General features: G+C 36.2%; 1 annotated feature.

The window, feature by feature from the left end:
- Positions 11,042-12,241: an enhancer, noted in NCBI's record as "CDK7 strongly-dependent group 2 enhancer chr5:144157357-144158556 (GRCh37/hg19 assembly coordinates)". NCBI's record gives its function as "activates an origin of replication core promoter dependent on BRD2, BRD4, P300/CBP, MED14 and CDK7 cofactors, with strong dependence on CDK7, by STARR-seq in HCT116 cells {active_cell/tissue: HCT116}" and the evidence as "EXISTENCE:reporter gene assay evidence [ECO:0000049][PMID:35650434]".

Genomic DNA, 12,539 nt, shown 5'->3' with positions numbered 1-12,539 from the left:
TTTGGCTATCCAGATTTGCTGTTTGGCTTTTCTTAGCATCTATTAGAGATTGGAACATTATTCTATGGCCTTTATATTTATTTGTTTCCAATGAGATATCTCATAGATTCTCTAATTTCTATTGTCCCTGGATCCTGTCTTTGGCCCATAGGGCTCAATCAATAAAAGGTACTGCACGTTTTCTAATGAACATCAAGTGGCTTACCTAGTCCTTAACTATTAACTCTCAATTTTGAGAGGGGCTTTCAGAGCAGAACCACCACCTGGTAGAAATAGAGTGTAACAATCCTGCATACCTGTGTCCCTCCTAGCTTACTTCTGCTTCTCCTGGCTTACTTCTCAGTTTTCTATTCCTATATGTGTAATTGAAATTATCTTTAGTTACAAAAAATCCATACTGGGTAGTCTAACTGCATCATCCACAACTGGGCTTAAAACTAGACCACCTGGCCTGGACTAGGAGAGACCATCTATCACAGTGCACTGAATATAGCTGCACTAGGCATTTCTTGCTTGAAATACTTCCTCCTTTATTATGTTTTTTTTTTAATCCTTTGGAAAATGTGATCAGGGTATTTCTCAGTAATTCAATTTTATTGCTAACCTGAAACAACAATGTAAACATCAGAGAAAGAGATGAGGGAAAAGGGCAATCTAGGTTTAAGGTGATAAACCACTTTTTACAGCCTGGAGAGAATTATCAAATTCCATTTAACATGTAATTCAGTAAAACAAAACCTAATTAGGTTTACAAACATACACATGTAATTATACAACGTTTCTGAGTACAAGTCAATCGGCATGTGAGAGCACATGTGGATAAATGGAACAGCTACCTCCCTGGAGCTGAAAAACACAGCATTAAAATCTAGTCAAGGGTGAAATATCTTTTTATATTGGTATAATATTTCTCTGGCTTTCCCCAAGCAAAAACAAACAAAAAAAAAAACAACTGTTGTTTTAAAATCATACATACTCTTAAGTCTAAGTAAGTTACCCAAATGGTTAATATGTGGATTGGGAAGTAAACACAAACCTAAAGTGTAAGAAAACTTCAGGTATCCTAAGCTCTGATGCTCTTGTTGGTCAGGTAAGGGAGCAGATAAATAATATGCCAGGAAGGCCCTTTGCTTTTGTTTTGGAGTATCTGGTCGGATTTGTCCTCAGTCATGGGTCTAGCTTGAATTTCTTTCTTACTCTCAGGAGAAGCTGCCAACTCAAAATGAGAATTTACTCTTTCTCCTTGCATTCAGTTGGCAATTCTCAGTCATCGCTCTGACTATTTTGAAAGACCGTCTGTGACAGGGACATCTGCCTCAGCCATCTTTCCACAAATTGCCATGCTCAGTGATGTTCAACTAGCCATTTAACAATTCTAACTTCTCCAACTTGTAAATATTTACTACTTAATGAGCACCCTCAGCCATATATTTATTAAGACATAGAGAAAAAGGAACTGTGGCTCTCTCAAAGGAGATGTGAGCTTGTAGAATTTGTCTGGTTGTCATTAACAATTAAACAGAAGACATCAATTCAGGTATACACCAATTATTTAGCATTGACAACTGTCTAGGATTGTTCTGGGTGCCAGGGCAATTTAAAATGCATACACTTGAGAGGTAGAAGACAGGCATTAAAAAATAATAGACTATCTTAGGAAAAGAGAACCTTTCTCATGAGGGCAACTACATTCATCTCTGTTTTCATGTCAGACATCACTTATCAATTATTGTATGCTTTACTTCTGAGCCCAGCTAGAGTCTTATGCAATCTGTCTACATAGCATTCCAGGCAACCTCTGCCAATTAAATTGTGTTAGCACATGAGTTGAAACTTACTTGTTACCCTTGCGTTGAAAGTGTAATTTTCCCAAACACCATATAGTTTACACATTCTAAATCCCCTTCAACAGTCAATCTGAGTAAACACTAAACATATGTTTGTTTATTTAATAAATTAAAAAAATCTCCCCACACCTCCAAATGTTTATACATTATAGCTCCTCCTAACATAACATTAGTTGTTAAAATTTCAGTGAAAAATTCTCAGTCATCCTTTTCCATCTTCTTTCTTCATGAACACATCAATATTGCTATGGTAATTATCCTCCTTCAATCTTCAGTTTTTCTTTATTTTTTGTTTCCAAACTCTTTTGTAGCAGATGAATTTAAGGATCTGAAGGGACTATATGGCTTCAAACAAAGTCTTACAAATAATAGTCCATAACTGCTTACATTAGAATTCCTTCGGGGAGTATTCTAAAAACAGAGATCCCACTACAGACCTAGCAGACCAAAATTTCAGGAGAGGAATGTGAAAATGTTTGTATGTGGGGTGTATGTGTGTGTGTGTGTGTGTGTGTGTGTGTGTGTGTAGGAAGGTAAGCAGCATGTAAGTTTAAAAACCTCCCATGTAGTCACTGAAGATTTCAGTGTTTTCTTCCCATTCATCTCCAAAAGCAATTGAATCTGAGAGAACAAATCACCAAGATGTGAACCTTTCCTATGAAAGTTTCAGTTTCTCAACTTCAATTCTATTTTTGAACTTCAAACATATACTAGTGTCTTAATACTAATAAATTTTTCTTCCCATTATACTTTTTATCTTTTAAAAAATGCGTGCTTTCTGATATGAAACTCTGATCCTAGGGTTTGGTGTACAATCAAAGGAAAAAAATGGAGTTCTCTAGTCAAAAGATTTTTATTGAACTTGTTTCCATTATTAAAATGAGGACTTTAACTTTAAAAGGACACAATTAGGCATATAAGAATGCATCCTTCTTTTGCTCCATCTCTAAGGAAAAACTCTGTTTCTTATGCAGTCTTACTTAAATCACTTCTGTCTTACCCATTTTTCATAATACAATAACATTAACAGTTAAAAACCTGGATATACCTATGCATCTATTTAGTGCATGGTAAAATATATATTTTTCAAAAGAATTAATTTGCATTGTTTTACATAAGGCATGTGTCAGTTCACCGCATTTCTAACCCAAATTATTTTCTTGTACTCAAGGTTTTTATATTAATCTGTTTATTCTCTGTAGACATTTGATTCATGACCAATAAACTTGATTATCCTTTCGAAAATCATCTGAGAGTCTTACCTGACATCATAACTTTCTCTGTCAAAATTGAAGTAACTAGATTCCTTATTTTACTTTGAATATTTTAAACTTATTCTATATTTCAATTTGGAACAAACCTAATTTTCCACAATAAAAAATTTAAGTCTCATGCAAGAGTAACTGAATAGCCACAAACACTTTAAAAATCATGATTTTGGCTCTTTCTTGGACAAATTTTATCCTTTTACATTTACCTTCTTCAGAGGTCAGTGGAAAAATGGGGGAAACTATTCCTAATCTATTTCAACAGGGAGAAAGTTATATTTGTTGTACAGAATCTAGGCTATTTATTTCAATTTGGGACATGCACTGAAGGTGGGTTTTGAAAAAAAAAGCTGATCCAAGGGGCAGTAATTTTCTGTAATTATTCATAAACAGCCTTTAATGGCAGGAATAATTTTACCAGATAACTATTAACTAACATTAATTCAACCAACAAGCATTCTTTGGGTACTTACTATGTACCAGATACTATTCTGGGTATTAGAAAGAGAATTCTAGGAAACTGAAAATAACCATTTGAATAGTGTAAATTCGCTACTCCCACAAAGTTGACTTTCTAGGCTCAAAGATAGAGAAAATGAGTTTTTCTTTTTTTTTTTTGTATTTTTATTTTTGTATTTTTATTTTTTTAATTTTATTGTTATTACACTTTAAGTTTTAGGGTACATGTGCACAATGTGCAGGTTTGTTACATATGTATACCCAAAGGCCTTGAGCTATAGTTTCAGTACTGACTGATCTAGTTTAATCAGCACCAGCTATGTGATAGTAAATATCTATAGTGGATAAACCTTTTAGCCTTTCTGGCATTGCTTATGTTTGTACTAGATCCTTATATTATGATCCAATTTAAAAATATGCATAAAGAGGAAAAGGAGTAAGGAAAGATATGAGGAAGAGATTTGCTTGGCTAAAATCCCAGGCACCAGAGAAGTTATGCATAATCACTTTTAATAAGGGTCTATATTAATTTTGGAGCAGCTGATTTCTCGCATAATAAGACCTGTCAAATGCAAGTCATCTCATTGTCCCCACAATATGAGTAGACATTTGTATTATCTGGAATATAACAGATAGATATTGCTATTATGGGGAAAAGAGAAGAGGTGACAGGAATGTCCCATTTCTTGGTACGGTTGAGTCACATTTCATTTTAATGTGATTAGGGGCCATTTGACACTTTAATCAGGGTGATATCTCACACACCTGGAACACTTAGGCTGGAACAGGAGACTGAACATTGACATTTGTTTTCTCCCTATGTTCAGTGGATCACTGTCATTCCAAGCTGGGGGGTATCAACAGGTGTATGGCAAATATTATGGTTAAAACATTTTGGTGAGTTCTCCTTGGTCAAAGACCAGATGACAAACATAGCAATTCTTTTATAAACGTACTTCTTAAGGATTAAGCTAATCTCATCTTCATTTTATGCTTCTGTTAACTCTAGGCTGTCTCTCTGTACTGAAGAGTTCCCCGGACCAAAATCCAGGTGGCATATGATATTTAATATGCTAATCCTTTCATACTCTGATGGAGGTCAACTTTGGCCACCATTAATCAGTGACACAGGTACTAGGCTAGTATTTTTTGATAAAATGTCACATTTAATTAGTACTACTGAACATAAACACAAATATTTTATTCCCATTTCACAGATGAAGAATCTGAGACTCTAAGACATTAAATTGCTTACTTGAAAGTATACACCTTCTAAGTGATATGGAAACTGATTCTGTCTTCATGTGTCCTACATCACTAAGAATATTAATGCAACAGTAGGAGACCTTATACAGATAAGCATCTCCAGAGCTGCCTACCCACCTTCAACATCTGAACCCGTATACTCTACTTTCCTTCCTATAATTGTAGAGAAAATATCCATGCTCCCTTCCAAAGCTAATATTTCCATTTGCATACTAAATTTCACTTCTTTTTATCTACCTAAGAACAACTCTACAGAAATTGACCCTCCTACATTATCAATATATGTTTTACTCACTGTCGTATCATTCTCATTATTATGCAAATGTTACTATTACTCCCATCTTATTACTCAATTTCTCTTGTCAGCTTCCAGCCCATTTCTTGCTATCTTCTGTTGCAAAACTCTTCTGAAAACATGTCTGTCCTACTGTCTCTGGTTAGTCTCCTCATATTCTCTCTTAAAATTACTTTAATTTGGCTTTGCTGAAACTGGGCATATTATCGTCACAAGTGACCTCCTTCTTGCTAAAATTTATAGTCTATTCTCAGTCCTCATCTTACTTGACTTACTAGCAGCATTTTACACAATTGATTATTCTATTCCCTTGATACATTATCTTCCTTTGAATTTTGCAACAACACACTTTCTTGGTGTGCTCTTGGTTTCCCCTTATGCCACTGGCTCCCCCTTCGTAGATTCATAGTTCCTTCTCTTTTCCTAACCTCCTAATATTGCAGTGCTCTGGTGCTCAGTCATGAACCCTCTTCACTTCTCTGTGCTCACTCCCTTGGTGAAGCCATCCAATCTGATACTTTCTTTACTATCTCTGTGCTGATAAGTCCCAAATTTGGGTTTCCTAGCCATACATCTCTCACAAATCCTAGCCAGCAAACAACCACCTACTCAATGTCTGCATTTGGAGGATCAGTAAACATTGCAATTTAACATAATCAGAACTGTATCCTTGGCCATGATTAGTCATATTTGTTTACTTCACTGATGGTTACAAATACCTCGAATAGAGTACTTACTAGGCATTCAATAACTATTCCTTGTTTAAATAAATTAATGAATAAATGTCTACTCCCTGGCATAGTTGCTGGTACAAAATTTGGAGTTCAACAAATGCTTTACGGACAAATGAATGAGTAAATAAAAGAACAAAATAATGACAGGGCATGATTTGAATTCAAGATCATTCCTTCCTCCTCAGACCTAAATTTAATTTATTTAAAGGAATAAAAATTACTTACAAAATAAGAATTAGTCAGATGTCTCCTGTTTACAGAGCGATTCCTAACCACTGCATCTAAATTCACCAACAATGCCCAATTCCCAATGCCCAGTCATTCTCTATTGCAACTGTGGAATTTCTATATAGGCCTTATTATTTTGTATAATCACCTTGTTTACTTAGTTCTTTATTTTGTTTTTAGAATTTTCACTCCATTTGCAGAAGGACCTTTATAGTTCACCACTGCATAGAAGAGTGCCTAGCACACAGTACATGTTAATATCATTTGTGAAATTAATGAATTAATATAATAAAGAGTAATATCCCTAAGAGCTAAATCGGATAATTTGGATTACAAATTCTATGAGAGAGGAAAAGAGAAACAAGAGCTGGAGCTGATAAATTAAAGTCTTCATAGAATAGGTATCACCTGACCCCAGATGAAACTGGTCATATTTTTATAAAGAACAGTTTGTAGCACGAAGTATAGTGTTCAATTTTTCTACATCCCAAGACATTCTCAGTGTGTTCTTTCTCCCACCTACAAATGGGTAATGTTATAGCACAGTTTCTCAACACTTTTTTCATTATTCCTCTCCAAGGAAACTTTTTAGACATGTTTTTTCTAGTATTCCTATGACATTTTAATTCCACAGACACAGTCCATGTGTTAATGTACTGTATGCACATTTGTGCTTTACACATATAAAGACTAAGGGTTTTTTTATCCTTCCTGTCCAAGACCCAATTTTCACCCCTTTGTGAAAGATATTGTGAAAAATACTGAGAAGGTACTCTCTATAGCACCAGAGAGATTGCTAACTTCTTGACCAGAACTATGTTCTCTTATTTCAGACATCACAGTTTTTTAGTAGATGCACTATTTTTGCCATAATTTTTATTTGTTGTTCTCAATGTGTTGATTTTCCAAATAACAAACCCGAAATGCTGGGTGATTATTGTGCTTATCGTATCAACCCCTCTTCCCCCCACCCCCCCGCCCACATTCCCACCTCCTGCTGCAAACCCTTCATCATTTGGCTTCCACAATAGATTTACCAAGGGAGTTTGTATTTCACCCTTGAGACCAAACTTAATCAGGCTTTAGGAACTGATGTATGTAACATTATTGAAGACTCTGCCAAAACAAAAAGTTCAGCTCTGTCTGCTCAAGAAGCTACTTGCACTCATTGACATCATTTCAGAACATGGAGTCTTTCATCTTCTTCTTTCCTTTCCCTGCTTCCAGTGTTTGGATTTGACACATTTAATATACAGTGAGGAGAAACAATGCCCAGATTGGCAAAGCAACTTTTCCAAACTCCCTCAAGTAACGAGCAGTTCCCTGTGAGGTTTCTTGACTCCTGCTGCAGTGTTCTTTCTAGAATATCCCGCTGAGCCTACTTAGAAAAAAAAAAGTACGGCACAAAGTGTTTTGCTATGGTCCGTGGAAGAATTTCAGTTCAGAAAAACACAAAGTACAGTACCATCATGAATGCAAAGGTACCAAGGACCAAGCATAACCACGTAAAAAATAGTGGAGACTGAGCAACATTCGATAGAGATTGTATGTGCTAAGAGCATTCAAGTCGTGAGTTCACAACAAGGGATGTCCGACTGAAGAAAACAAAAAATCAAGTCAAATTCTGAGCTACCCTAGCACATCTCATGCCTTTGTGTGAAAAGGAATATGGATATGAACATTTGTATAAATCACAAATACGCAACCATTTTGGATGGATGAATTAGTAAAAGCAACCCTCTCTGGGTGTTCAAACCTTTGGAATTAGATAAGGCTCAATAATTTGAGATTGTTATTTCGGAAACATCAGAATAAGATCAATGGTTACGTGATGTGACCTTGTAACTCAAGACCTTAGAAGGTGTGTAGTGTCCCAGTTCTCCTTCTCTTAACTGGAGAAGAAAGCCACCATGAGAACCACATCATGGAACTATGCTGCCCTCCATGCTTTGTTTTTCCTGTGACAACGTCGTTGGCTTGCTCCTGAGCCCACATACCTTAGCAACCTGAAAATACTCATAGCAGGCCTCCATAACAAAGGATGGGGCAAAAGAATGCACTATATATTAATAGCTTAAGTGTAAAATGGCTCTGGGATATTTTTCAACTTTTAAAAATATCTTAACTTTCTTATGATTTAATTTCCTTTCTACAACTTCCTTTATTTCAATTAATGCCTTTTCTCATTTATCCATACATTCATTTCTCCAGCAAACTCTACTAGCTCTATCTTTAAAACATATCCAGAGCCTGCCTCCTCATCTTCCTCAGTGCACTGGTATCTTATACCACATGACTGATTGCAACATTCTTCTCACTGTGACATCCTGTGTAGTAGCCACTAGCCACATGTGGTTATTGAGTGCTCAAATTGTGGCTGGTCTGGATTGAGATATGCTGGAAGTGTAAAATGCATACTGTATTTCAAAGACTTAATGTAAGTCTTCGAAAAATATCTCACTGGATTAAATAAAAGCCATCATTAATATTAAGTTCACCTAGGTTTTTTTGACTTTCTGTGTGGATACTAGAAAATTGAAAATTGCACATGTGGCTCTGTTTTGTGGTTTGCAATACATTTCTATTGGATGGTACTTTTCTAATTTGTCTCCCTGCTTCTACCTTTGCTTCCTTTTAGTCTATTTTCAAATCTGCCACCTGTTGAAATATTATTCAGATTGTGGCACTACTGTTCCTAAAGACGGATTTCTCTTCTACTTAGGAAAATAAAAAAGTCTTTACCATAATCTGCAGGGCTCTCTTCTATCTGACACTCACTTCATACTATTACTATTCATAAACTGCTACTTTTCTGGTTCCCACCATTCTAGCAACACTGGCCTTTTCACTTCTCCTGGTATTTCATTGCCTATTGCCTCTGTCTGGCATGTTCTTTCCCCAAGAAGAATTACACAGCTTTTTTCTTCACTTCTTTTAGTTTCTCTCTGTTTTTCCAAACCCTCCTTCACTCTGTCCCAATACTTGATATCATTCGTTTCTACTTCAATTTTTTTCTCCCTACCACTTATCACTCATTAATAATATGTGTGTGTGTGTGTGTGTGTGTGTGTGTGTGTGTGTGTATAGTATATAATTTAATGTTTGTCTTTACCCTAATAATATAATCTGATGGCTGGAAAAAATGCTTATTATTTGTTTATACTTATACTTCCACCACCTAGAATAATGCCTGTTGCATAGTCACTATTCAGCAAACAGTTGTTGAGCAAGAATTTGTTCCAACTCTTTACTATAGCCTCATGGCCCTCTATGAAAGTTCTGCTTACCCCATCACTGTGAATTCTCACCTAACATTTTCTTTTTGTTTATGTCATTGCATAACCTGTTTTTATTCCTCAAAAAGGTCAAATTCAACCCTATTTCCAGACTTTATTTATTTTTTCTACTATCTAGAATATTCTTAACCCCAGATCTGACTCATCAAAAACATCAAAGTAAACAAGACAGATGAGGTTCAGTTTTGTTTGGAAGATTGAAAAGTCAATTATTATGTGATAAGTTTAAAGACAGAGATAAGCACAAGGAAATTCTGTGCTTTTTGAAATCGTGAATGGAAAATAGTGTTGCAAAATAAGGAGAAAATGTGACCTAACATTTTTTACATAATTATGACCTCTTTCCCTATTGTATTCCCACAAAGATCCCTGTCTCACCCTACAATGCACACTTATAGTCTTTAACATGTTTCAGGGGGAGAAGCTGATGCTCTCATTGTGCCTCCTAGCAATTCCTAACACTTTCTTCCAGCTAACAAATTAGCAAATTAAAAGCTGTGATCAAGATATTGGCAACTTAGCACTCCAGAGCTCCTCTTGATGAGGCACTGGCTTCAGGGTTGTTGAAAAGGAAATGCTTCATGGTGTCACAATCAGAGAAGACCCACCATGCAAAGACAAAACAGCCAATGCATTAGGGGTACAGAGAAACTTTTTATCCCCAGTGCAGACCCCCTCTCACCAAATACTCACTCTCTCTTTGATCAATCCCAGTAAGAAGCAAGCTCTGAATACTTAGGTATTGAATGAATGAAATGATAAAATGACCAGACAGAATAGCATGATTATTGAGATGGATAGAATCTGTCTGTATCCATGTCAACTCCTTAAAAGCCCAATGACAATTGCCATGTTGCTTATTCTTTGTAAGACTCATTCCTATTATCTATAAAATACAGGCAATGATAACATTTTCCTGAGGCTGTCATAAATGTAATAAATATAAAACACTGGTTGTAGTTATGGGCACATTATAAGCACTAAGTGAGGAGTAAGTACTATTAATTCCGGGCTCGATTGTATGCGTCACATGCCAAACTCTCCTGAGGCCTCTGGAGATGAGGGTGCTCTCTTTTCCCTCCCAGAGCCTTGTATCATATTCTGCCTGTTCCTGTGAGTGTGAGTAAGTCTAGTAGAATCAGACCAGTCATTCTTTCTTATTAGTCTTCAGAGAGGAAAGTCATTTCCTCTAAAACACATGGACACAGATGTAAATGAGACATTAAAGGTCCCTTAGTCTAACTCCATCATTTTACAGATGAAGAATGAGGCCCTTGGGTGGAAAAGGGCTTTTCTACGGAAGCACATATTTTTCCAAGGGTCTTAGTCGAGCCCTTTCCAATCTAGAGAAAAGAAGAAGATGGCCCAAGAGGTAACGACATTATGCCTGAAACTGCTCTTAGTTCAAAGTCAGAATTTTAGGCATCCCTAATTATGTCTATAGTTAAGCAATAAAACGTTACAAATTACAAAGGATCAGTCAGGGAGTCAGCCTAATTTGCCTAATGAAATATTCTAGGAGACATTTATAAAGCAGAAAATATAGTTGGAAATTGTAAAATACTACCCGAAGTCACCGAACACTGAGCCCATAGTGTAATCCACTGAGTAATAAGCACACACAGAACTGACTTCTTATTTAGGGCAAGGGATTACAATGGGGAAAAACACATATTGAGGGAAATATCACAGGTTATAAGCATTCATGGAAACATGTACATTTATTATTTGAAACAGTATGAAGGGGCTTTTTTGCATCCAATTCCTGTTCAACAGAAATTCTTGATTGGGTTAGTGTGGCTAACTAGTTTCTGAAATGCACGGCCAATGGTAGTAGTTTCAGTATCTTTGGCATTATATGCATATTACTCTGCACTGAACTCTTAATGAACTATGGAAATAATTTTCTGGTGAGCTCATTTGGAACAATAAGATGTACTCATTTTTTCTTCCACTTGGCTTTTAGGATTGAAGGTTAAAAGGAAAATTCAACGGTTTTTCTTATGCCAGAGGTACTTCCAGAAGACTAGCAAGCTGCTGGTGGCTATCAGTCTTTTCCTCCAAATCTCAAAATTAGGCACACAGGATGTTGCAGCTATACAGGTATTTTAGAACAGGAACAGAGTCACACGTTTTCATATATTTCATCATGTCTTCCAAGTCTCCAACTTTAAGGAAAAACAATTAGCTTTTGCATTGTACTTCTAGGGTAGAACCCACTTGACACACCCAATAATGTATACTCAGATCCCACTTCAAGAAAGGCCTTGCTGCTCAGCTCCAGGACTCTGGCCAGCGGAAAGCCTCCAGCTACTAGCTCCTTGGAGGTGGCCTCAGTTTTTTGACCATGTTTGGCTCAAGTCGGTGACTGGAAAGGCTTTGATACAAGGGCTGAGCCATTTCTGCCAACACAGGAATCTTCTAATGGGTAATCTTTGCTCTGAGGCACCTCATTGCACTGCTAGAGAATTTGTAAGATCAATATTGTAGTCTGACATGTCTCCCTTCCCAATTCTGTATTTTCCCCTTTTCTTTCACAGACCTTTCTTCCCAATACATTTTTTTTCACTCTTAACTTTGTCTCCGGATTTGTTTCCCAGGAGTCTCAATGGACATATATAGAAACAGCTCCTATATGGAAGAAAAACAACCTGGAAGAAAAATATCAGATATCTAAACCAAAATCCTGAAAAGATTAATTTAAAGGGAAAATTTACCACCCACACAAACAAGACAAAATAATTTTTAAAATACTGGTGAATACTGCCAGAAGTTTAAAGGGTTTATAGAGTAGTGAAAATAAATAGAAAATGCACAAAATGAAATGAATTATAGAAAATGAAGAGTTTCCCAATGTCCTGTTAGGCACAATAGAGCTTCTGTCCAGCCAGATCTAAAGCCCACACTAAGGACTCTAACTGCTGGACTGTCACATTCAACTTGCACACTAGATTTCTTCTGTTAAGGGGCATCACCCTTCGACAAAAGAAACACATAAAAGAGGTGGATGGAAAACTTTATGCCTCATGGAAAATGGTTTTCTTAACCTTATGTAAATGTGTGTGTATTTGAAATATTCTAATCTAGGCAATGTCACATTGATGTAATAATCAATGATATTTTCATTTTGGGAAGAGATGCAATGT

Source organism: Homo sapiens, chromosome 5 (assembly GCF_000001405.40).
Source record: "Homo sapiens chromosome 5, GRCh38.p14 Primary Assembly".
Classification (NCBI taxonomy): Eukaryota; Metazoa; Chordata; class Mammalia; order Primates; family Hominidae; genus Homo; species Homo sapiens.
The sequence above is the reverse complement of the archived record's forward strand: the minus strand, read 5'-3'. Positions and strand labels throughout refer to the sequence as shown.